The following is a 25,768-nucleotide window of genomic DNA, read 5'->3' as shown; positions in this document are numbered from 1 at the left end:
CATGACTGCTCACCAGACGACAGCAGTAGCTTCCTTCCTGCCCCGCCCCCCACCTCACACTACCCACATGAGTCTGCCTCCTGTACCACAACAGGGAGAACCTTTTAAAATGGAAATTGGTCCAGTCACTTCACTGCTGAAACCCTCCAAAGCATCCCCATTTTAATCAGGGCAAAAGTTCAAAGCCCTGCCATGGCCCACGGCACCATGTGATCACCCTCATCGGCAGTCCACATCCCCTCCCTCTGCTCTGGCCCCCACAGCAGCTCTGCTGCTCCTCTAACACACCTGATGGCTTCTGCCCCAGGACCTTTGCACTCGCTCCTTCCCGCAGATAGCCCTGCAATTTGCCCCTTTAAGTTCCCTGGATCTCTGTTCAAACATTACCTTCCTGCCCAGGTCTCCTCAGACCACCCAATCTATGACAGCATCTCCCTACCCCACACCCAACCTCACTTCTTGCTTTATTTTTCTCCACAGCATTTACTGCTTTGAACATGCTGAATATTTTAGTGACCTATCTAGCTTCTCATCTGCCTCCCCGATCTGACTGTCCACCCTGCAAGAGCTGAGATTTTTGTTGGCCTTGTTCATTTATACATCCCCAGAGTCTGGATGCTGCCTGACACAGAGGAGACTCCATTGCATTAATACCTGTTGAATGAATGAATGAATGACCAAGCGAATGAGCAGGCACCTACGAGACTCACAGGACAAGGCGAGGAAGACACTCTGGCCATCTAACAGTATTTATCTCCAGTGAAGGAGAAAAGAAATCAGGATTGGGGAACAATTTCATGTTCCACAAGGAGAGACTATACCGGTACAACTGGTGTCATTGTGTTCTTTAATAAAATTAGTAACCCTTGCATTCCATCAGATAACAAAGGAAACTCATGGAACAAAGAAGGGCCACCACACAAAAAGAGCAGCCTGTCTGAGCCACTCAGACTCCACATCTGCCAAAGAGGTGCCTGTGATCTGGGCCAATGGCCGGTGGGTTGGAGAGACAAGGAACGAGTGTCTCCATGCTCCCAAGCGTGACCAGCACCACAGCAGCCAGGAACAAAGGAAACGGGGTGGCAGGGTCCCTGCCGTCAGTCCCTCAAGCAAAGCAGGGCTGACTGAGCCAACACCCTTCTCCCCTGAGGTGACCAGGACAGAAAGGGGGCCAAACCCCTTCCCCCAGTCGAGCACTGTCCCAGTGACCAGCCACTCTGCTGCCACTGCTAGCGTCTGCTGTCCCAGGCTGGGACAAAGGTACACAGCAAGCCCACTGCACCATCCCCTGGGGCGGTCCATCCGCGAGCCTCTGCCCCACTTAGAGATGTGAGCCTCACCCAGCAGGCCAGGCTCCCCAACATTCATTTACAGAAAGAGAGCGGCCCTCGTGTGCACCCAGGCTCAGGCTGGCCAGAGGCTTCCCCTTTTCTTTTTCTTCCCTTTAATCCCCAAGCCTCTCACCACCACCTGCTGGCTCCCGCTTCCCAGGCAAGAGCCACATCAGAGTACAATCCCTTCCCCTCCATGCGGGAGCTCCCTTCTGATTTCCCAAACATAATCTGCCTCCTGTAAATCAATAACCCCGGGCTCAGTTGACATTCGAGTGGCCGCAGCACTCAGAGGGGACGCAGCACTCAGAGGGGACACAGCTACAGAGCCCCTGCCCGAGGCCTGAGCACCCTCTGCACCTAGGAGGGTGCCTGTGGTGACGGCATGAAGGGGCACACGAGGGCAGCCACTTCTATGGCAGCCAAGAACCCTGTCCCTTTGGACCCTGGACACAAAGCTGAAATGGGCTTCATGGAACCCAGGAAGAGGAAACCTGTTTACCACAGGGCTGTGGAAGGGGCCTTCCTTTCTACCACGCGGCCATCTCAGCAAGAAACAGACCCCCACCAAAGGCCTTGCAGGGGGTTCCCCACTGCTCTTAGATCAAATCCCAATCCCTTATCCATACAGTGGAAGACGATTCCACTACAAAACACTATGCGGTCCGGACACATGCAATAGCAGAGATAAACCTCGAAATGTTATGCTATGAGAAAGAAGCCAGACACAGATGGCCACATGCTATGTGATACCATGTATATGAAGTGTCCACAGCAGGCAAATCTGGAGAGACACAAAGCAGATGGGTGGTTTCCAGGGCCTGGAGGAATGGGGGTGGGGAGTGGCTACCTGCAAGGTACAGGGTTTCTTTTTGGGGTGATGAAAACGTTTTGTAACTAGCTAAAGGTGATGACTGCACAACACTGTGAATGAACTAAATGCCCTTGAATGTACACTTTGAAATGGTTGTTATGTAAATCTAAGCTCAATAAATTGTCCTCTTTAAAGTTGAACTCTTTCCCTTAGTCCACATGGCCCTGCCCACCTTCCCCAACTCTGTCTACTGCCATCCCTCCATTCATTGCCTAACTGATACTAGTTACACCAGACATGCCAGGTGAGCTACCAGGGAGATGTGGGTTCAAGCTCTGGCTCTGTGTGATCTGTGTACCTCAGTTTCCCCAACTGTTCAATGAAGAAGTTGGATTAACTGAGGCGTGGGGAATGCAAATTCAAATACCTAGACCCACATTGTCCAACACAGTAGCCATTAGCTAGCCACGGGTAGCCATTTAAATTTACTTAACTTTAAATATATATTAATTAAATTGAAATGAAATGAAAAATTCAGTTCCCTAGTGGGATGTTATTCAGTCTTAAAAAGGGAGGAAATTCTAGCACATGCTACACATGAGTGAACCTCGAAGATACAATGTTAAGTGAAATAAGCTCGTCACAAAAGGACAAATACTGTATGATTCTACTTATATTCAAATGAATAGAGACAGAAAGATGGTGGAGGCCTGGGGAAATGGAGAAGGGAGAAACGGGAGTTACTGATTAATGGGTATGGGGTTTCCATTTTGCAAAATGAAAAAGTTCCAGAGATGGATGGCGGCGATGGTTGGATAACAGTGAGAATGTGCTCGATGCCACAGAACTGTACACTTAAAAATTGTTAAGATGGTAAATTTTGTTATGTATGTTTAATGCAATTAAAAAAACCCAGTTCCTCAGACACAGTGGTCACATTTCAGCGCTCCACATCAACATGTGGCTGGCGGATACCATATTGAACAGTGCAGCTAGAGAAGATCTCCATCACTGTAGAATGTATCCAATAGCACCGGTCTGGAGGCTTCCAACAGGCAACAGAAATTAGTGACCATTCTTAATGGAATGTAAGCTCCCTGACAGCAGGGGCTACAATGCCAGCACCAACAAGCATGCCTGGCACATAGCAGGTGTTCAACTAAATGCCAGTGGAGTGAACTGGGGCTGTGTCTAAAGGGAGCAGCCTCCACTCCCTGCAGTCCATAGTCACTCCCTGGGAAGAGGACCCAGTGCTACCGGCCCCACTGCTGTTTCAACGAGAAGCCAAAAATCCAGATTTTCATATTAAATCTTCTAGCTCTTAAATATTGGCTCAAAAGTTATTAAAGCACTGGGCTGGCCAAACAGATATGCCCTGGGCTGTATGTGCCACGAGATGCTGGTTGATAACCAGTGGTACAGGAGTTGGTAAACGTTCCTTCCACCGAATGCATCAGGAGCCAGGGCTCACAGACCTGCACAGAGAAACAGGCGGGGCTCTTACTCCAAACACCTCCCCCAGGAGCCTCTGCGAGAAGCATGGGAGGAACGAGCCAATTGCATTTTCACCACTGTTAAATATGTGCTCAGCACAGAAACAATGCGTCCAAGCCCCAGGTGAAATTAATATTCTAATTCAAGTTTCTCACATTGATGAAGGTAGCTGGCTGCCACCAGCTCAGAATGCTAACAACTCGAAATGAATCCCCTGTAGAGGAGCAGAGCGAATGAATGAAGTGGAAGTGGGAGGCAGGTGGCTCTGAGGAAGGGAAGTCTGGGTCCCAAAGCCACCACAAGGACAAGACACAAGGCAACCGAGCAATGGGCTAGTGGCTCTTCCCAAGCCACTGAGCAGAGGAAGACTAAACACCCACACCAAGCACGCTGTCCAGGAGCCAGACCAGAGACTGTGAGGACCTCGTTTATATCAATCAGACCAGGGGCAGTAGTTCACTCCTGTAATCCCGACACTTTGGGAGGCCGAGGTGGGTGGATCACTTGAGACCAGGAGTTCAAGACCAGCCTGGCCAACATGGTGAAACCCTGTCTCTACTAAAACTACAAAAATTAGCCAGGCATGGAGGCACGTGCCTGTAATCCAGCTACCCAGGAGGCGGAGGCAGGAGAATCATGTGAACCCGGGAGGCGGAGGTTGCAGTGAGCTGAGATTGCACCACTGCACTCCAGCCTGCGCTACATAGTGAGACTCTGTCTCAAAACAAACAAACAAACAAACAAAAAATCATAGGCCCCCAAGCCACAGCACCAGGAAAGGGGCATCTGGTGCCTCTGAGGAAGACCAAAGGAATACCATCCCACCAGAAAAAACTAAGCGAAAAAAGCTAAGGGAGCAAGGCCATGGGACCACTGTCTCCTAGCTGTGGGGTCGGGCAGTCCCACCCTCTATCCCACCACTCACAGCCTTTCTGAAGAATCCAGGAGCTAAGAAGCTCCTTCTTCCCCACCCCACCACTCCCCAGACCAGATTCAGGAGGGTTAGAGGCATTTTCGGTGACTTAATGATTAACCCTTACTGAGGGTCCCGCCTGCTGCAATCTTTCTCCAAATAATTTGCGATGGCTTGAAAGCGTGTCTACAAATCCTTTGACGTTCCTCTGATCAAAGGGTGGAGCCAAATTCCCCTCCCCTGGATTATGGGCTGGCTGCTAATGAGTAAAATGCGACGGACGTGGTTTCCAAGGCTGGGTCATAAAAGGCCATACAGCTGCCAGCTGGCTCTGTCTTGAGACACTCACACTGAAGCCCACAGAAGTTGGGCTGCTCTGAAGCTGCCAGGCTGGAGAGACCACATGGAGACAGACAGAGAGGCCCAGCAGCCCCGGCCATGCCCGCCCCAGCTGCTCTGGTCAAGTCACACCCTCCCTCAGCCTCAGGCTCCTTGTCTACAGGGTTGCTGAAAGGATTCATGAGATGCTCCACATAAAGGGCTGAACACCCTGCCTGGCACGTGGTACCCTCACTGAAAGGATTCACAAGATACTCTACACAAAGGGCTAAGGACAGTCCCTGACACATGGAGCCCTCATTGAAAGGATTCACGAGATATTTCATATTAAGAAAGGGCTGAGCACCCTGCCTGACACACGGAGCTCTCATTGAAAGAATTCATGAGATGCTCCACATAAAGGGCTAAGCAGAGTGCCTGGGTACATGGAGCCCTCACCAAAAGGATTCACAAGATATTCCACACAAAGGGCTAAGCACCCTGCCTGGCACACGGAGCCCTCATTGAAAGGACTCATGAGATACTCCACACAAAGGGCTAAGCACAGTGCCTGGTTAATGGAGCCCTCACTGAAAGGATTCATGAGATACTCCACATAAAGAGCTAAGCACAGTGCCTGGTACACGGAGCCCTCATTGAAAGGATTCATGAGATACTCCACACAAAGGGCTAAGCACAGTGCCTGGTTAATGGAGCCCTCGCTGAAAGGATTCATGAGATACTCCACATAAAGAGCTAAGCACAGTGCCTGGTACACGGAGCCCTCATTGAAAGGATTCATGAGATACTCCACACAAAGGGCTGAGCACCCTGCCTGGCACATGGAGCCCTCATTGAAAGGATTCATGAGATACTCCACATAAAGAGCTAAGCACAGTGCCTGGTACACGGAGCCCTCATTGAAAGGATTCATGAGATACTCCACATAAAGAGCTAAGCACAGTGCCTGGTACACGGAGCCCTCATTGAAAGGATTCATGAGATACTCCACATAAAGAGCTAAGCACAGTGCCTGGTACACGGAGCCCTCATTGAAAGGATTCATGAGATACTCCACATAAAGAGCTAAGCACAGTGCCTGGTACACGGAGCCCTCATTGAAAGGATTCATGAGATACTCCACATAAAGAGCTAAGCACAGTGCCTGGTACACGGAGCCCTCATTGAAAGGATTCATGAGATACTCCACATAAAGAGCTAAGCACAGTGCCTGGTACACGGAGCCTTCATTGAAAGGATTCATGAGATACTCCACATAAAGAGCTAAGCACAGTGCCTGGTACACGGAGCCCTCATTGAAAGGATTCATGAGATGCTCCACATAAAGGACTAAGCAGAGTGCCTGGGTACATGGAGCCCTCACCAAAAGGATTCACGAGATATTCCACACAAAGGGCTAAGCACCCTGCCTGGCACACGGAGCCCTCATTGAAAGGATTCATGAGATACTCCACATAAAGAGCTAAGCACAGTGCCTGGTACACGGAGCCCTCACTGAAAGGATTCATGAGATACTCCACATAAAGAGCTAAGCACAGTGCCTGGTACATGGAGCCCTCATTGAAAGGATTCACGAGATACTCTACATAAGGGGCTGAGCACAGTGCCTGGCACAGGGAGCCCTCATTGAAAGATGGCTGCAGTGATAATGATTACTGCCATTTAGTGAATCCAGCAAGTCCACTGACCTAACCGCTCCATCTCAGCCCTAGGTAGGCTGCTTTGGGCATCTGTTATTCCTTTAAGGTTCTCTATACTTCTCAGCCCTTTTTATTCCAATCCCCTGTTATACACAGGAGTTGATAGTTCTTTATATTAAAGTTTCCCTGTTCAAAGTACTCTGTGGAGGTCAGCATATATACTGGAATTTCTCACAGGTCAGCAGATATGGCTACAGCATGCACCAGGGTTTTGCCCTATAGATAGTGTATACTCCATCCATGTCTGCCAACCTATGAGAAATTCTAGTATATATGATACATCCCAATTTTACAAGGGAAGAGGAAAAAATTATACTTTACATCATGTATTAATGAAAAATATTTTAAAGTGCTTTATGGAGAAAACATTTTTTATATATTGGCAGCCAATAGATCATGAGTTCTGGATAGGCAGTAAAATTCTACTAACTCTAGAAAAAAAATTATAAAATCCTATCAGTAAAAATGAATATGCTGGTGTCAGGTAAATGTTTGTATATGTCAAGATGGTCACAGAAGTAACCAATTAACATATAAAATGTTAAAGATATTGGTAAGCTCTACCTCTGATCAGCTCTGTTGCTTGTGATGTGTCATTTCTATGAAGAAGATCCTCTCAAAGCTGTGAAATTCACACTTTCACTGAGATTTCTGTGTGCAGCTGTGCACTGCCTCTAGGGGGTAGCATCAACAATATTTTTGTCTTTGACATTCAGCTTTCCAACCATAAGCCAGGTGCAGTCGATAGAGATAATTTTTGAAACATTTTTGATAGCAGGGGAAGGGATGGGGACAAGGAAGGGCCTCTTGTACCAGTAATTACTGGCAGATGGCTTCCACTCTGTGTCTCACAGCATTCTAGGCACTGGAAGTAAAGCAGGGAAGGAAATAAAAAAATATTCATGCAACTTTGCCCCTGATGAGCTCAGTATAGAGGCAGACGTAAGCTTCTGCACATTCTCCAACCTAGATTTCAGTCAAGCCAAAGCCTTTCAAAGGAGAAGACAGTGCCAGGCAACGGGATCTGAGAAGCCTTCATGGGACTTCACCAGGACTCTCTGGTTGCAAGTGAAAGAAACCCAATTAAGAAAAAGAAATGTGTTGGATCACGTACTGGGGAAGTTCATGATCAAGTTCATATCAGAAACAGCTACTTTGGGGCACTCAAATATGGTCACCAGGAAACTCTCCCTCACTCCCCCTGCACTCCAGGTTTTTCTCCATCCTGCTTCATTCTCAGGCAGTTCCATAATGGTAGATAGCTTCTAGGACAGCCTCCAAAGATCTGGCCTCATGGTGTTCACAGTCTTGTGTAGCCCTCCTTGTGTAACTTCCCTCTAACTGATAGAATGGCTCAACATTGAAGGGACATCACTTCTGTGATCAGAGATTGTTACTCACTGTCTCTGATGAAGCAACCTGCCATATGGAGAGGGCCCCAGGGACAGGAACTGAGAGCAGCCTCTGGCCAACTGTCAGCAAGGGACTGTGGCCCTCAGGGCAAAAGCCCACAAAAACGGAATCCTACCAACCACCATGTGAGCACAGCAGCAGATCATTCCCCAGTCCAGCTTTCAGATGAGACCCAAACCTTAGCTAACACCTCGACTGCAGCCTTGTGAGAGCTTCTGGGGCAGAGGACGGACCTCTGGCAGAGGACCTGGGGCTGTCCCTGGATTCCTGGCCCACAGGAACTGTGAGATAACACATGTGTGCTGCTTTAAGCTGTTAGTCTGCAGTCATTTATTTCACAGCAGTAATGACTTACCTCTAGGCTCACATCCTAACAGATTGGCATCTGCAACAGAAAAGGAAGACTTCTTCCCCAGCGCTTTCAACAAACATCCCAGGGCTGGCCCTCATTGGCCCAGCTTAGGCCATGTGCTCAACCCTGATCCAATCCCTGAGGCCTGAGAGATGGGACGTTCTGATTGGTTGTGTGCAAGTCATGAACTGGCCCATGGGAGGGGGAGGAGAAAGTTTACCAACACCCAAGCCACAGGGATTTACAGCAAGGGAGAAATGGTCCCCCAAAAGAAAATGAGGGTGTGACACCAGGGTGAGGAAGCAGACAAGCTCTATCATATGACAGAATCTGAATACGAAATAATGTGGGAGAAGAGATGAGCAACACCACAGAGACGACCACCAGGGCACATAGTAGGTGTTCACTGAACTCACCGACTGGCAAAGCAGACCAAAGCAGTTGCTGACATTTGTTAAACACTGATGTGATGTCAAGCTTAACTACGTTAAGTTTTTCTTACACAATATCTCCCTTAATCCTCACAACATCTCAAGGGGTAGGAGTTCCTCTTCTCCCCATTCACAGATGAAAATGCTATGGCACAGAGACATTAAGTAATTCACCCAGGGTCACAGAGCTAGCCAGTGGTGGAGCTGGGATTCAAACCCAGGCAGCCTGCTGCCTAAGTTCATGCCCTTAATTTCAGTGATGTACTTCAGTTAGCAAGCATAAGCAGCTAGCAGAGGGGCAAACAGTATATAACGAAGCAGTGAGCGATATAAAGCTGACAGGAAGTGCTGTAGTAGTTCATTCCCTCACCCAAACACTTATTTAAATCTTTCGTGAAGAAAGAAAGGGAGTAAGAGGAGTAAGGAAAACTTGAAGGACAAGAAATATTGAGAAAGAAATTCTAGCACCTTTCTCCCTCATACTGTGCTCTCTGCTACAGTGTGAGAGAAGCAGAATTTAGTCACCCTTGTGAAATGACCTGAGATGACAGGCAAATTGATCAAATAGAAGATGAGGCTGCTTCGGAGCCTGTGTAAATGATGCCAGTGCAAACAGCAAGGCCGACACCTCCTCCCCCAATACTTTTCCCCCTGAAATATGCAGACCCTCTCAGCAGCTCAGCCCATACATTTAAGAGAGAAACACTTAACTGGGCTGGGCATGGGGGGTGGTGGGTGGAGAGAGAAAAAAAAATCAAAGAAATAAAATTTCCATCATAAATTCATAGTGCTTTTTAGACAGTTTTCCATTAGAAACAAATGTGTTTGTGCTAAGTGCTACAGAGGCATAGACCAGAGAACTTAGACGGTGCTCCTATTCTAAGATCAAAGCTCCTAGAATCTGGAGAAATGCCATGAGTAGATGGGCTGGCATTCCAAGACCTCTGAGAATTGTCCACAGCCAGAACCACCAGGCACAGAAACTTGGGAAGCACTGGCTGGGTCCTGCCCTCAAGAAGCTACTCTTGGGCAAGAGGTCTGGATTCTAAGAACAAGTCCCCCTTCTTCCACCATCTCCCAACTGCCCCTAGGCTCGACATTTCTCTGTTAACTCAATCTCCTCAGATGTCAGTTCTTTCTTCTGCCATCACGCAATCATACCCTCACTTTCCTTAAATGTCTAGAGATCTTCAGTGGGTGCTGATCCCTACCCAGTATTCCTGGTGGGTGGGATAGACATTTGCAAATCTTTCTGAACTCCCTTTCTATGCCTGAGGAATCCCCCATCTCATGAGGCAGAGGAAATTCACTAGCTACACCTTGCTATATGCGTGCCATGGAATACTAGCCAGCAATTCAAAAAAAATGAGGTAGTTCTGTATGTACCTGGAAGATGGAGATGAATACTGAAGAGACAAGGGGTATATGTATAAAAACAAACTTAAAACAATGGGATACTATAGACTTCCTACAGGAAAAAATACACAGCAAACCAACAATTGATTACCTCTTGAGAGAATATGAAATTGGTCAAAAAGGACTTCAGGCTTATCTATAATACTTCTAAAACCATTTTTATATATTTGAAAGAGATACATTTATGCATTCAGCAAATTGCTTTTATTTTCCTCCTGGCACCCAGAAAAACGACATGTCCCCAGCCCCCACCTTAGAAGGCAGAATGAAATCACACACACACGAACTCTATTAAGACAAGTGTGGTTGTAACACTGGTGGTTCAAGTCCTTTCTCCAAATGCAATCCTACTTCCTGCCGAGGGATTTACCACAAACTAACAACTTTGTGCCCGGTATCCATTCTTTCCTTCTTCCATGGTAACAGAAACCCGGATTTTTAGCAACCTAAGATAAAGACTGAATTTCTCAGGTTCTCTTGCAGCAAGATGTAGCCATGTGACTCAGTCTTCACCAATGAGATACATGAGGCAGCACCATGGGGCTGCTTCTAGGACTCTTCCTTAAATGACAGTTGATGTGTATCCTCTGCCCTTTTTTTAATCTATACCTTCATCCTGGTGCCTGGGATGGAGATGAGATGGCTGCACCTGTAGCTGTCATTTTGAGCCATGAGGACAAAAATCACAACCTTGAAATGGTAAAAAGGAGGGAGAGTCCATAAGTACTTCATGGAACAGATTCAACTTAACAGTCCTGGGCTACATAACTTCAAAATCTTATTGGAAACTTCTGCTTTTTAAGCCACCACTATTTTAAGTCTCTTCACTCACTGATGAACCCAATCTGAACAGATATGCACAGTACATCAAATCTAGGCTTCCTTGTTCCCCCAGAGATGCCCCAAGCATCATCCTTAATGTGTCACTTGAGCTCACTGTATCACAGCCCCCCAGAACCTACAAACCATGGCAGCAAACTCAGAGAGTTTCCACCTGCTCCAACAGGGACCCAGGAACCCTAAGAGCTGGACTCACAACTTAAATATCAGCATTACCGTAGCTAAGATATCCAACGCATTCTTGGTTTCCTCCCCCTCTCTCTCTCCCCTCCTTTTCCATCAGCCCTGCAAGCATCACCCCTTCATTCCCTCATTGAGGTCAGTAAGGTTAACCACTGGCGTGGGTCCCCACACCTTCCTGCACACTTGTAAAATTATGCAAAAGTGCATACGATGCCGTGTATGTGCCAGTTTCAGGGGCAGCAAACAGCAGTGATTAAGAGCCAAACTCCATCACTACCACTGTGTGCTGCCTCTGAAACAGCACACACACCTGCTTCATGGCAATCCTCTTATTTATACAATATAGAATTCCCAGAAGTGGGATTGCTGGGTCAAAGACCAGATGCTACTCTAATCCATATTGGCAGATTATCTTCCAAGTATTCGTCCTCAACCAAAGCAACCAAAATATGTGTGAAGTCACTGGGCTGGGGTTTCAGAGGTCACACACACAATAAAGAAGCCGGAGGAGCTTTGGAAGCAGCTCAAAGGGCAGCCTCCAGGGGCAGGAGGGAGGCAGCATCAGCTCCTTTCCTGGCATAGGGACCCCAGAGGCATCAATCACATGTGAGTGCTCTCCAGACCTGCCGGTTCTCACCACCCTACTTGGTGGTCTGCAGTAGTAGTTTTTCTTCCTTCTGATGCAAGCATCCATATTTTCCTTTGGGAAATAACCTCTGCTCCTCTCTGGCAACGTGGTTCTAATTCCAGTTCCAGAAATGAGCTTCGGACTTAAGTATGGTCGATCAGATTCCATCCCCACAGTCCCAGTCCCTGGCTGAGGGGTCAGCACATGACCCAAATTACTCCAGTAAAAGTCAGTCCTGGGGTTCTTGCTAGGATGACTAGGAAAGAAACATTCTATTTCCGCTGGTTGGAGGACAGGCTGGAGCCAACTGTGGCCAGCTTTGCCATCAGAAGGGGGGAGGCTGTCTGAGAATTAAGTCAACACAGAGAGAAAAAGAACTAAGAGACCAAGTGGCAGACAGAGCAGAAGACCCCATTAGGAGAGTGTTAAGCCCCTGGACCCAGCCATACCTGAAGCCATTTCCCTCTTAAATTTCCCAGCTCCAAGGATGCCTACATTCCCATTTTTGTCCCTTACAACTATGAGAATTCAGACTAAAATAGTGACATACCCTTGCATTGGCACATCATCTCCATTGCAGCATCACATTGGAAACTTAAAATATCATAAGCCTGGGTGTCACAGATTAAACATAAAGAAGGCTATATCCATCTTTTAACCCAATATGAAGAAACACAAGGTTATAAGAGATCTATGGATTGGAATCACACTGAGTATAAAATCACTGATCAGTTCCCTCCACAGCCTCCCTACAAGGGGTCTTCTGTGCTGTGAGCCACTGAGCTTTGCCTACAGAGTAAAAAATATCTCACACACACATGTGCTACTATTTTTTAAATGTTACATAAATCTACTGTAATTACCAAAACCTACTCATTCAAAAGCATTACTAAGTTGATGGCAACTTTCGATCAATCTGTTTTTCTTTTTCCACTGAGAGTTACCAAACCCACAATTCTCATACCGAGGAGCTGGATAATTTTTTCTGACATTAAAAATGATGGCTTGTTTTTGAACACTGTCAGTGTCCTATAAACATACATTCACAGAGCATTCCCTACTTGAACATTTAAGGCAAATTTTGTCTTTAAAAGGACCAGACCAGAGAGCAGACAGGTTATTTAGGCTTTGCAAGCCATATGATACCTGTCACAACTACTTAATTCTGTCACTGTTGTAGAGAAGTAGTTGTAGACAATATGTAAACAAATAGGCACCGCTGTGTTCCAATAAAACTTTATTTAAAAAACAAGTAGAGGGCCAAATTTGGTCCGTGGCCTATGGCTTGCTGATGCCTGGATTAAAGGGTACAGAAAATAACAAGCAACAAGTCAGGAGCCGAGGCCGCCTAAGGGTCAAACAGAATTTACACATCTCTAAAATGTCCTGGAAGTTGATGGAGGAAGTAAAATTTGATTGACACAGACCTTTTCACATACACCTCTACTAAATAAAACAAAAACACCTGTACCAGCAAATGAACAATAAACTGTGCCAGAATCATCACATCATGAACAGAGGAAGAATTTTTTTCTTTTAATCTTAGCGATTTCCATGGACACACAGAGGGGAACAACACACACTGGGGCCTACAGGAGGGTGCAGGGTGGGAGGCGGGAGAGAATCAGGAAAAAATAACTAATGGATACTAGGTTTAATACTTAGGTGATAAAATAATCTGTACAGCAAACCCCCACGACACAAGTTTACCTACATAACAAACCTGCACATGTACCCCTGAACTTAAAATAAAAGTTAATTAAAAACAAAAATCTTAGTGATTTCAGCAGGAAAAATGAATACCAAACTGAGTCTGACAGACCACAAGTCAAATCCTAACTCTGCTCTTTCCAGCTGTGTTTCTCCTGGGGCAAGCAGCATAACTGAGCCCTGGTCGCGTCAAGCATCATTATTAAGATCATCAGCATTATACTAACAATATTCATCATTGCCACTCTTTACTGAGCACTTACTATGTGCCAGTAAACATTCCACAACTATCATCTCATGACCCCTCTTAACTTCATTCTCCTTAATGATGTTTTGTTTCTTTTTGTGACGGAGTCTTGCTCTGTCACCCACGCTGGAGTGCAGTGGCATGATCTCGGCTCACTGCAACTCTGCCTCCCAGGCTCAAGCAATTCCCCTGCCTCAGCCTCCTGAGTAGCTGGGGCCACAGGCATGTACCACCATGCCCAGCTAATTTTTTGTATTTTCAGTAGCGATGGGGTTTCGCTATGTTGGCCAGGTTGGTCTTGAATTCCTGGCCTAATGTGATCCACCCACCTCGGCCTCCCAAAGTGCTGGGATTACAGGCATGAGCCGCCGTGCCCAGCCATTAATGATGTAAAAATATCTCCATCTTACAGATGCAAAAATGCAGGCCATCCTCCACTGGGACTCTTGGGAAGATCAAACAAAAGGCAAAGGCCCAACTCACGGATGAAGTTCTGTTGTTCTGTTTGTTAATTTCATCACTAAGAAATATTGATTTGGTCCCAATTCCAAGTACAGTAATGAGCACATAGTAGACACTCAATAAATATCTACTAAATGAACCCAATTCATCAGCAAATCTTGTGGCTCAAATTTCAGAATACACCCCACATCTCACTACTTCTCACCTCCTCTGCAGCAACCACTCAGTCCAAGCAGCCATTGTCACTTGCCTGGACTACTGCAGTAGCCCCTCAGGGCTTCTGCTCCTGTGAGTCAAAGCAGATCCCTCCTCGGCTCTAACCTGCCAACAGCTCCCATCTCACTCAGAGTAAAACTCAAAGTTCTAACCAAAGACTAGTTTGGTTAGAACTTTCACTGCCCTGGCCTCCTTTCCTCCTGCTGTTCTCTCACTCGTTCAGCCCAAAGAGTGAGGGAACAGCTCTCACTGGCCTCCCTTCTGTCCCTCGACCCTGCCAAGCACATTCCCACCTCAGGGCCTTTACACCTGCTGTTCCCTCTGCCTGGAACACTCTTCCCAAGATAGCCACCTGGCCTCCTCCCTTACCCCTTTAGGTCTTTGTTCAGATGCCACCTTCCTGACTCTGCTGTATAAAACTGCAAACCTGGCCAGGTGCGGTGGCTCACGTCTGTAATACAGCAATTTGGGAGGCCAAGGTGGGTGGATTGCCTGAGGTCAGGAGTTCGAGACCAGCCTGGGCAAACACAGTGAAACCCCGTCTCTACTAAAAATACAAAAATTAGCCAGCCATGGTGGTGAGCGCCTGTAATCACTGCTACTTGGGAGGCTGAGGCAGGAGAATCACTTGAACCCGGGAGGCAGAGGTTGCAGTGAGCCAAGATCACTCCACTGCACTCCAGCCTGGGCAACAAGAGTAAAACTCCATCTCAAAAAAAAAAAAAAAAAAAAACCCGCAAACCCTCCTCCCCAGCGCTCCATCTCTGCTCGCCCACTCCATTTCTCCACAGCACAGACCACCAGGTAATGAACGGTGTGTTTAGTTATTTATTGTGTTCAGTATCCGTCTCTCTCCACCTTAATGCTAACCACAAAGACAGGGTTTTTTGCCTGTCTTTTTCCTGCTGATATCCCCAGCACCACGGACAGGGGCTGGCACAGTGCAGGTGCACAGTAAAAATGTCTCGGAGAAGACAAAGGCAGGAAGGCAGGAAGGATGCAAATTGGAGGGAGTCTCCAGGAACAAGGCCAGCTACAGCGAGTTCAGAGCCCATTTTACAGAAAGGGAAACTGAGTCTCAGGTCAAGAGGCGAGGCCAACACTGCCCAGAATTCCCAATTTCTTGAGAAAAAACAGAAACCTGTATAGTAATATTGACAGCTCCCAATTTTTAAATGTCGGCAACTAATAAGAAAAGTCTGCAGGCCAGATATGGCCCAGAGGCAGCCAGCAGCCCTCCACCAGCCTGGAAAAGTTATGATTCGCTGCTGCTTAGAGACAAGTTTTCTAGCAAAATAACATTTTCCATCTACACCATGCCTCCCCCTTCCCTTCCCTTGCCCAACCTAGAGACTCGCAAAAAACAGGTTCCCCTCCCACCCGGCCCTCCCACCTCTGCCATCTCTCTGCCCAGGTGCCCCCCAACCCCACTGACCTGGCCCCCTCTGCTCGCCAGGAATGCTAGCAGCCTGCAGCAGCAGATGGCACAACTACAGAAAGGAAAAATACCAAGCCAAAGACATAAATACGTCGGCAGAGTACACAACACGGAGAGGACCCAGCAAACAAAGAGCCGCAGACTCCGGGAGCCAGGAGATGAGGTGCTGCCAGCCCCACTTCCAGAGTTCCAAAAACAAAGCCAAGACCCCTTGGAAGGCCCGGGGGAGTCACCCCAGGAGTGCCGGCTGCAGCCACGGCAGTATTTTCATGTGTCCATTTGCTGTGATGTGTTGAGAGCCCCGGCAGGAGGCATTCAGGACACAAAGCAGACATCTGAGGCATGATTTACTGAGTCACCCCTCCCGGGCACTGCATCCCGGACTCGGAGGCGTGGCCACAATGAGTAAGACCCCCCCACCAACGGGTTAATTCAGACCAGGCTCGGAGCACCGAGCAACTCTATCACCCTCAGTAATAAAATACAGCAAATCAAATTGGACTGTATTGATTTTTTATGTAACTATTTTAGGGCCGAAGCATAAGGAGAGGGTATTGATCAGTTAAGAGTCAGGTGTCAGGAAAGGGAGACAGGAGCACCCTGGCTGCAGAACCAGCTGATTTTGCCAAGGGAAGGCACTGGAATTCAACTCCAAAGAACCCAGGCTTCTTTCTCTCCTGCCCCCAGCCGGCAGAGAATGGGCATTGAGAGTCCATTCTGCCCTGAATGGGAAGATGGAAAGCCACACAGCTGGTGGAGCAGGAAAGCGATGACCAGCTCCTCTGAGCTCCTCTGCTTCATTTCTCTCCCCATGGCACTTGACATTGAAGTTCAGATTTCTTTGTCCACTGCTTCACTGTTGTCTTGCTCTGCAAGAATGACAGAGTGTGGGATTTGTCTCTTTTGTTCCCTGCTGTGTCCCAAGTGCTTAGCCCCGATTTATACCTCTGTTCAATGAATGAATGAATGAGCTGGTTGCCATTTCTTGAGCACTTGCTGTGTGCCAGGCACTCTGCAAAGAACCGTGCAAGGATTCACATGCCTTCTGCCTGGAACCCCCTTCTCTCAGTTGGCTCTTTCTGGTCATTAAGGTCTCAAATTAGAAAACTGCCACCTCCTCTAAGAAGTCTTCCTGGATCGCACAGTCACTCTTCATCATATCGCCTTGCATTGACCATGAAAAACACAAATTAATGTCTGGGATTTTCCTGTGGGTGTATTTATGAGCTTCTTATTTGTCTCCTCATCATCACCCAACCTGCCCTAGAACACAAGCCCTGGAGATCACAGGCACCCAGGCCTGAGGGCAGGGAAATTGAGGCAAAACTCCAGGACAAGAAGGCACCATCAGGGCAGAAGTCATGAGCTCTGGGGAGGAGACCCTACCTTGCCATTCATGGATTGACTTATCTTGAGTCAGTCCCTAGGTTCCTCTGAGCCTCAGTGTCCCCATCTGAGGACACATCCTACCCCTCACTCAACAGTTGCCCAAGAATCCCATGAAATCCTGAAGTGAGAAACCACTTGGCAGACGGCTGATGGTTCATGATTCTTCTCTTTGCAGCTGTGATGGTTGCATGTGTCCCCAGTCAGCCCTTCCTTTCTTGCCTCCTTTCCTGTCCTGGGACTCGTGCCCTGTGCTAACAGCCTCAGGGCTGTTAGGCTGTTGTTGTTAGCACAACAATGGCATCAGCACGCCGTTGTTGTTTACAAACCTCTTTCTTGCTGAACCACCCAGCCTTGTAATGAGAACAGCCAGGGAGAATTTCGGCGCCCATTTTACAGATGGGAAAACTGAGTCTCACAGAGGCCAAGGGGCTAAACCAGTATTCCAAGATCTCCCAATTTATTGAGCAAAGACAGAAACTGGATTGTGACACTGACATCTCTGAATTTGTAAATCCTGGTGACTAACAAGAGAAGTTTGCAGCCATCCGCCTTCCAGGGGCCTTCCACATCTGCTGTTTCCACAAACGCCAAGTCCCTCCTGCCGAAGCAGGCCGGGGCTCCCGAATGAGGAGGTGGACTTTAGAAGGGACAGGTTTCAGCCAGGCATGGTGGCTCAACACCTATAATCCCAGCACTTTGAGAGGCCAAGGCAAGAGAATGTCTTCAGCCCGGGAGTCTGAGGCTGCAGTGTGCTATGACTGAGCCAATGCACTCCAGCCTGGAAACAGAGCAAGACCTCATTTCTAAAATAAATGGGGGTTGGGGGAGGGGAAAATTCTCCAAACTCTGTTTCTCACAAAAAACCCAACTCTCCCCTTGACTCAAGACACATCCCTTAATCCCTTGGGTGCAAATCAGCCTCAAAATCCAATAAATTGCACCAAAACTTCAGTGCCCATGAACTGAATGTAGTAGCTAAGAGAACCAACTCTGGGACAGACACACCAGGGTTCACACTTGCACCCCATCACTTATTGGCTGTGTGACTTTGCAAACCTCACATTGCCTCTCTGGGCCTCAGTTTGCGTATCTGTAAAATGGGACAAACAGAAGTCCCTACCCCATTAGGGTTGTTGAAGAATCCGTGAAATAAAATCTAACGAAGGGCTAAGAACACACAGTGTGCCCAACAGCAGGGTTAGTTATTGTGTTACTACTAATTCTGAGGTACATGATTCTTCTCTTTGCAGCTGTGATGGCTGCAGCACGTGTCCCCAATCAGCCCTTCCTTTCTTGCCTCCTTTCCTGTCCTGGGACTCATGCCCTGTGCTAACAGCCTCACGCATCAGCACACCATTGTTATTTATGAACCTCTTTCTTGCTGAAGTCCCCAGCCTTGTAATGAGAACAGCCAGGGAGAATTTTGGGGCCCATTTTACAGATGGGAAAACTGAGTCTCACAGTGGCCAAGGGGATAAACCAGTATTCCAGTGCATGAGACCAAAATTCGGCCTGCCAAAGTCTTGCCCTTCAACATAGCCATCTAATCACTCAGGGGCACAGAATCTGAAAGGACTCCCAGTTGCCTACAGAGTTGACTCTGATGTGTTTGATTTCTACGGCTCTAAGCCTTAGTTTGCGTTAATACATTTATTTGTTGCAAAGAGAGAGGGAACAGAAAGGAAGTGAAAGACTCGGCAAAGGCTAGCACATCAAAGGAGCTTAACGACTACCCACCACCTGGGAGTATAAGCCTGGCTGGTTCAGAGGCCGGGCCACACCATTCCGCACAAGGCTAGAGAGTGAAATTTGGTTGCGTGAGGTGCTGGGTAAGACACAGACCAGTGCCTGGGCTGGGATCCTAATCCTGTGTGACCTCAGCCAAGTTACTTAGCATCTCTGGACCTCCAGATCCTCCCTTGTAAACTAGGAATAATGAGAGTGTCCACTTGCCAGAGTGGTGAGCATCCCATCAAGTTCATGCAGGGAAAGGCCTGGATGGTGCCTGCAGCACAGGAAGAAGCACCTGCTTTCATCACCACCCCTTCCCCATCACCATCACCATCACCACCACCACCCCTTCCCCATCACCATCACCACCCCTTCCCCGTCACTGTCACCATCACCACCACCACCCCTTCCCTGTCACCATCACCACCCCTTTCCCGTCACTGTCACCATCACCACCACCCCTTCCCCATCACCATCGCCACCCCTTCCCCATCACCATCACCACCCCTTCCCCACCACCACCACCACCCCTTCCCCGTCACCATCACCACCCCTTCCCATCACCATCACCACCCCTTCCCCATCACCATCACCATCACCACCACCACCCCTTCCCCATCACCACCCCTTCCCCGTCACCATCACCACCCCTTCCCCATCACCACCACCACCCCTTCCCCATCACCATCACCACCCCTTCCCCATCACCATCACCACCCCTTCCCCATCACCACCCTTCCCCATCACCATCACCACCCCTTCCCCATCACCATCACCACCCCTTCCCATCAACATCACCACCCCTTCCCATCACCACCCTTCCCCATCACCATCACCACCCCTTGCCATCACCATCACCACCCCTTCCCCATCACCATCACCACCCCTTCCCCATCACCACCCCTTCCCCATCACCATCGCCACCCCTTCCCCATCACCATCACCATCACTATCACCATCACCACCCCTTCCCCATCATCACCATCATCACCCCTTCCCTATCACCATCACTATCACCATCACCATCACCATCACCACCCCTTCCCCATCACCATCACCACCCCTTCCCATCACCATCACCACCCCTTCCCACCACCACCCCTTTCCCATCCCCATCACCACCCCTTCCCATCACCATCACCACCTCTTCCCATCACCACCCCTTTCCCATCCCCATCACCACCCCTTTCCCATCACCATCACCACTAAGACTTGCTCTCTAACTTTCGGATTTGACACTGGCTGTCTTGGCCAGGCCAGGCGGCTGTCATTCTCATGACCTTGGGATCCTTGTATGGAGTCACAGTTCCCTAAAGGACTGTATGGTAGAACTCCTCTACCAGAAGAGCTCCCAGGTACAGGGTTAGAAAGTCATAGGTGAGGAGTTAAGGAGAGGGGAGCCCAGGCCTCCAATTCACTGTGTGACCCTGAACAGGCGGTCCCTGTGCCCAAGTCTCCTTCCCATCTGCCGGGGGCTGCTGAAGGAGGGGCTCTGAGGCACCCTCTTGCTCTAGAAGTCAACCCACCTACTCTGCTGAAGAGTTGGCAGCACCCCCGTCACCCACGGTACCAGGGTGCCTCCATCTCGCCACAGTGATTGCTGAGTCCCATGGCTTCAGGGGAAATGGACCCCCTCCATCCCCATTCAAATTGAGACACAGAAGAGAAGAAAGGAGCCACCCAGCCACATAGAGCTGGGAGACGCATCTGGGAACAAGGCCCCTGAAAGGGCTTTGCCGGCCCAGAGACCACCCCCACCCCAGACTCCCAGCCAACAAATGAGGGTTTTCTTTTGCTCCCTTGGATCAAGGCAACCACCGTGCTCATTGTTGGCTCTGAGTGCAGTAGCTCATGCAGAAGCCCCACGCCTCCCCAACTCCCTGCATCCGGTGGGAGGAGAGGGGATGAAATGATTTACTCTGGGAACCTCCACTGTGCAGCCATTAAATCACTGGAGAAGGCGACGACATTTGCATACCACTCCCCACCACTTCCCAATGCCACCTCTCTGAAGGGCAGCGCCACACACAGGCACCCCCCCCATCACTATTGTAATGAGAAATATACCACATGCCACACCAAGGTGCCAGGCAGGAGGAAGAGAGCCTCTGCCCTGAAAGCCAAAGCTCCCCCCTGCCACTCAATGTGGCCCCTCTGTCGTGGGGCAGGTGGGGGTGCTCCACCCACCCTGATTTCATAGACCCTAGACCCCCGTGCATAATGAGTCAACGAAGCAAGATTCGTTCATTTTCCTCAGCAGGGACTGTAACTGCACCGCTAATTTGCAAAGCCACAGCATGTACAAAAGTGGCTCGAATAATAGGGGCCCCCTAGTCGCTAAGCTGGGGGATTTGTGCTGACTCTTACCAAGTACAGTTCCATATGTTTAAGCACTTGCAAGGCTGAAAGAAGTACACCCACCCTACTCTTTACCATGGCAGCTACCCACGCAGGAAGGGGGGTGGGGGACAAAGAAGCCAGTCCCTGCGTGTGTGTGATGGGAGACAGTGTGCGCATCTTTGCCTCTGAACTCTTCCAGCCCCTCTTCCAGAGCCTCAGCCAAAGGGGGTCGGTAAACCATGGCAGAAATCACCCAGAAAATCCAACCAGCCCTGAAGGAAGCTCTGGTTAATTCCTCTGAACCTCTCAAAACCAAGTGTAGGCAGCTAAGTATCTTTCAGGAATTTCTTTTTTTCTTTTTTTTTTTTTTTTTTTTTGCCATCCCTCCTAACTAGTGCTAAATATAGAGTTATCAAACTGTCGTCTCTTTATGTCCCTGGTAGGGACCAGTTAAAGACTTGCATGTGCTTCCAGGGACGGGGCGATGGCACTGGGGGCTCTGCCCGGACGGCATTTGTCGGAACGAGCTGCCCTGCTGAGACTCTCCCAAAGAACAGCAGGGGAGCAGGCAAAGAGCCGGCCAGCAGCAGGTTTCAGTGGGAGCTCACCTTCCCTCCCAACATGGGGCCTTCCAGAGCCAGGCACAGGCTCTTCTGTTGCTGGGGGAGAGGGCGGGGGACGGGGGTGGGGGGGTGGTAGGGGGACCATCCTATTCTCTTACAAAGCATTATGCAGGCAGCTTCTCTGAGAGACTTCCGATATTCACTTATAAGCACATCCAGGCAAATGCTGACCCCCGTGGAGAAACAAAATAGAGACAAAACTGCAATTTTCAAGTCCGAGGGACTGCACTTTTGCAAACAGGTCCCAGGGCTTCAGCTAAGAGAAAACAGCCTCGGCCCCAGCAGCAGCCCCTCTCGTGGACCGCAGAGGAATGCCGAAAGCAAAACAGCTATCATAGCTGCTCCTTAGCCAAGCAGGCAAGATTCATCCACGTTAAGCCCAATGCCATTCTCTAGGCTGAACCAAAGCCGAACGCTGACGGAGATCTCCAATAGAAGGTTTTCTTCAAGTCGAAGGTGTTGGTAAATATTTTGGGTCACTTAAGGGCATCTCAAAGGAAGCCGACACTGACTTTTTCCATGCAAATAAAATACATCGAACATCAAGTTGACATGCCAGGTTTGCTCCTAACTGCAACCTTACCAAGACAGTGAAAGCCGAAAAGTTATAGTTGTATTTTTCTACTGCATTCTGCCTGTCTGTGCGATTTGTTTGTTAAGGAAATGGGGAGAGATTTTCTAAAGCAAAAGCTACCTGTTCCCAAATCATGGGTCTTGATTTTAAAAGGTTTGGAGAACTGAGATTTCAAAAGCACATGAAGGCTGCTCGTGACTGTTCCCGGGGTTCATCTGAGCCTTTAGGATTTTCTCCACTGCTTGCATGGGGTGGGGGGAGGGGAGGAATTGTCATTTTAGGATACGCTTTCTATAGAACCAACATGTAGCCACACCAAGGTGGGTAGAAAGCTTTCCAAACTCCAGCGAAGACAGACAATACCTGACTATTTTGCTTTTCCCACTCACTAGGATTGGGCGACAGCTGAGCTGGTTCAGCAGGGAGTCCAGCTCCCCGGTGCCCAGGCAATGGCTCTGGACAGCACCGCGTTCCAGGCTCCCCGGCGCGTCCTGGACTGCTTGGCCGCGGCTACCCTCTCCCGCCCGCCTTGGGGTCAGGGCGCTGGAGTAGACCGCGTTTGCAGGAGGCGCGCAGCGGGCTGCTCTTTGGCCAAGAGGAGGCCATTTGGCGAGGGTGGGTAGCTTGGGGAGGGCAGTGTGAAAGCAGGGGAGGGCCGCGGGGCGTGGGGAGGGGCTGCGGACAAGCCAGACAGCGCCGGCCGAGACATCTCCGGGGCCCGCAGGTGTCCCGGGAACGCACCACTGTGCGACCGCGGGCAGCAAGACACTGGAGAAGGGCTGCGTCGACGCCCCCGCCCAGCAAAACCCCTGGAGGAACTGGGACCTGGGGGGGATTTGGCCCAAGGCAGGGCGGGGAGGGGGCTCGATTCCTGCAGTCGCGTCCCCACCCGCCTCGAGAGGCTGAGTGCCCCGGTCTGTGGCCCCCGTGCGTCCCGAAAGGATCCGCAAGGAAGCTAAGGGTTTGGGGGAGAAGGCAGGCGGGCTCTCCCCAGGCGCTAGGCAAAGGGGAACGCGCCGGGGGCTCCTGGGTTCCCAGGGTCTCCCCAGGTCTGTCCAAGTCCGGGAGATGCGCGCTGCCAGGGACTTGAGAAGGAGGTAGCCGCCCGTTCACCCAACTTTGTGCGCCTCGGCCGGGGTCGGGGATGGGGTCCGGGGACGCGTTACCTGGGCACTGGAGCGCAGTCAGCGCCAGCAGGAGCCCGAGCGGCGGCGCCCGGCCCGGGGGCGGCATGGTCCTCGGCGCGCGGTGGGTGCGGCGCGGGGCTGCTCCTCTCGCGCGCCCGGCCCGGCCCGCGGCTCCCGGAGCAGCCCCCGGCGGCTACGCCCGGGCGCCGGGCATGGCTCGCTCCCAGCGCGCCGCTCCTCCCCAGACGCATGCGCCGGCGCTGGCGGCGCTTCCTCGGCTGCGCCTCTGCGCGCTCTCCTGGGCTCGGCCGTGCGTGGCTGGGGAGCTGGGGCGGCCGAGGCTCAGCGCCCCGCGCCCTGGCCGGCTGCCCCGCAGTTGGCCCGAGTTGCGCGGCCCCCGCCGCCGCCGCCGCCGCGGCTCCTGCGCCCCAGCGCCCGTCCCATCCCGGTCGCGCCGCCGCCGCCGCCGCCGCCTCTGCCATCGCCATCTGCCGGCCGCCCCTCGAGCCAGCGAGAGAGTGAGCGAGCGAGCGAGCGCCGGGGGGAGGAGGAGGAGGAGGAGGAGTAGGAGGAGGAGGAGGAGGAGAGGAGCGGAGGGCGGGGCCGCGGCCGGGGGAGGGGCCGCCCGGGAGCCGGGGCACAGGCGGCAGCCCGGCCAGTAGGCGGCGGGACGCGCCACTGCTCGGCGGTTCGGGGGAGGGCGCCCGGCCGGGAGGCTCCGGGAGCCCGCCGGGGGTCGCGGGCGCTCGCGGGTACAGGGGCTGCGGGAGGGGTGCGCAATGCAGAGAGGGGATGCCCAGCTAGATCCGGCGTCTTGGGGCGCAGCGGTAGGAGTTGCCAAGGTCGAGGGGTGAGGAGGCCAGCGGAGGGTCACCGGGATGGGGCAGCGACCTCTGGAGAGGTGGTGTCTGCCGGGGCCAGAGACTGCAAGACTGAGCGCGGACAGGAGGTCCCGGGTTAAATGTGGCACAGCTAGGGAGTGCCTGTGGGAGAGGGGAGAGGAGAGAGGGGAGGGCCTCCGGGAGGCCGAGGCTGTGTGCAGAGCCTCTGCACGGCACCGGGATGGGGGCTAGGGGTGCGCAGGCTGGGTGCGGTGACCTGAAACACAGCGAAGGCGGCCTGGGGATGGCCACCCGGGTGAGGCAGGGTCCCTTATTTACCCAGGCTAGAGGATGCGCCTTCCCATTTCGCGCAGGCCCTAGGAGCACGCGGAGGCAGCCAGGAGTTCTCCTGGGAAGGGCAGATTCCCTGGCGGTCCCGGGAATGAGTTCCCAGCGCAGGGTCAGGCAGTGACGGAGCGGAGGTGTTGCGCAGGGCCGGGTACTAGGTGGTCGAATTCTTCCATCCAGGGGCAGGGACGCAGCCAGAGTGCGGAGGGAGGTCACAGGTCACACGGAGCCCCAGTACCTATTATCCCAGAAACCACTGATCCTCCTGGGCGCCCCACCCCCAACCAGGGCAAAGCCACGGGGGGCTAAGCCGAATGAATGAGTCATGCTGGGAGCATGTGGGGGAGCCTCCAGCAGCGCTCAGATGCCTTCAAGCTTCCCCACCACGCTGGGAGGACAGGGGATATGGGGGGTTGCCCACCTGGGAGGGTGGCTTGGAGTCCTGGCTCCGCCCCAGCCCCCACCACACCAGCCACTTGCTCTGCCATCTCAGTTTTCCATGAAAAAGTGGGTCAAACTCTTTGAAAATGGTCAATAAGGCAGCGTGGGGTGATGAAAAGACAGATTTGGGGAAGGCTCTGGAGTCATGGAGTCTTGGCTGAGAATCCCAGCTCTGCCGCTCCTTAGCTGTGCAAGCTGGGGCGAGTCCCTTATTCCTCCCTGAGCCTCAGTTTTCTCATCTGAGAGATGGAAGGCATTGCACATCACCTGGTGTCCCCAATAACACATACAAAGCCCCTGACCTAGGAAGTCGGAACTCATTTAAAGGAGTCAGTGTCAACATTATCATTCTCATCATCATGGCCATTATTATGATAGATCTGATTTTCCTCTGCGGGCCCAGAGCTCACATCAGAAGGACAATCCTCCCCACTCCCGGCTGCCAAG

General features: G+C 50.8%; 1 protein-coding gene across 2 annotated transcripts in view, besides 5 other annotated features; it reads right to left on the bottom strand.

Moving 5' to 3' along the window:
- The window catches only part of TMEM132B (transmembrane protein 132B), a 475,992-nt gene extending 451,761 nt beyond the window's left edge, over positions 1-24,231 (bottom strand). For both annotated transcript variants that reach the window (NM_001366854.1, XM_047428245.1), the window contains exon 1: positions 23,751-24,231. In NM_001366854.1, the coding sequence (NP_001353783.1) occupies positions 23,751-23,817 (67 nt within the window). In that variant the 5' untranslated portion in view covers positions 23,818-24,231. The remainder of the gene's footprint in view (positions 1-23,750) is intronic.
- Positions 1,477-2,216: an enhancer, noted in NCBI's record as "H3K27ac-H3K4me1 hESC enhancer chr12:125692947-125693686 (GRCh37/hg19 assembly coordinates)". NCBI's record gives its function as "activates a minimal SCP1, AML or CMV promoter by ChIP-STARR-seq in primed H9 embryonic stem cells {active_cell/tissue: H9 hESC(primed)}" and the evidence as "EXISTENCE:reporter gene assay evidence [ECO:0000049][PMID:30033119]".
- Positions 3,496-3,746: a silencer, noted in NCBI's record as "fragment chr12:125691417-125691667 (GRCh37/hg19 assembly coordinates)". NCBI's record gives its function as "represses an EF-1alpha promoter that drives an FKBP-Casp9 reporter gene in an ReSE screen in phorbol 12-myristate 13-acetate-treated (for megakaryocytic differentiation) K562 erythroleukemia cells {active_cell/tissue: K562(+PMA)}" and the evidence as "EXISTENCE:reporter gene assay evidence [ECO:0000049][PMID:32094911]".
- Positions 16,171-16,702: an enhancer, noted in NCBI's record as "H3K4me1 hESC enhancer chr12:125678461-125678992 (GRCh37/hg19 assembly coordinates)". NCBI's record gives its function as "activates a minimal SCP1, AML or CMV promoter by ChIP-STARR-seq in primed H9 embryonic stem cells {active_cell/tissue: H9 hESC(primed)}" and the evidence as "EXISTENCE:reporter gene assay evidence [ECO:0000049][PMID:30033119]".
- Positions 24,239-24,448: a silencer, noted in NCBI's record as "silent region_5081". NCBI's record gives its function as "represses an Ori minimal core promoter by ATAC-STARR-seq in GM12878 lymphoblastoid cells {active_cell/tissue: GM12878}" and the evidence as "EXISTENCE:reporter gene assay evidence [ECO:0000049][PMID:35858748]".
- Positions 24,497-25,030: an enhancer, noted in NCBI's record as "H3K4me1 hESC enhancer chr12:125670133-125670666 (GRCh37/hg19 assembly coordinates)". NCBI's record gives its function as "activates a minimal SCP1, AML or CMV promoter by ChIP-STARR-seq in primed H9 embryonic stem cells {active_cell/tissue: H9 hESC(primed)}" and the evidence as "EXISTENCE:reporter gene assay evidence [ECO:0000049][PMID:30033119]".

Source organism: Homo sapiens, chromosome 12, assembly GCF_000001405.40.
Source record: "Homo sapiens chromosome 12, GRCh38.p14 Primary Assembly".
Lineage (NCBI taxonomy): Eukaryota > Metazoa > Chordata > Mammalia > Primates > Hominidae > Homo > Homo sapiens.
The sequence above is the reverse complement of the archived record's forward strand: the minus strand, read 5'-3'. Positions and strand labels throughout refer to the sequence as shown.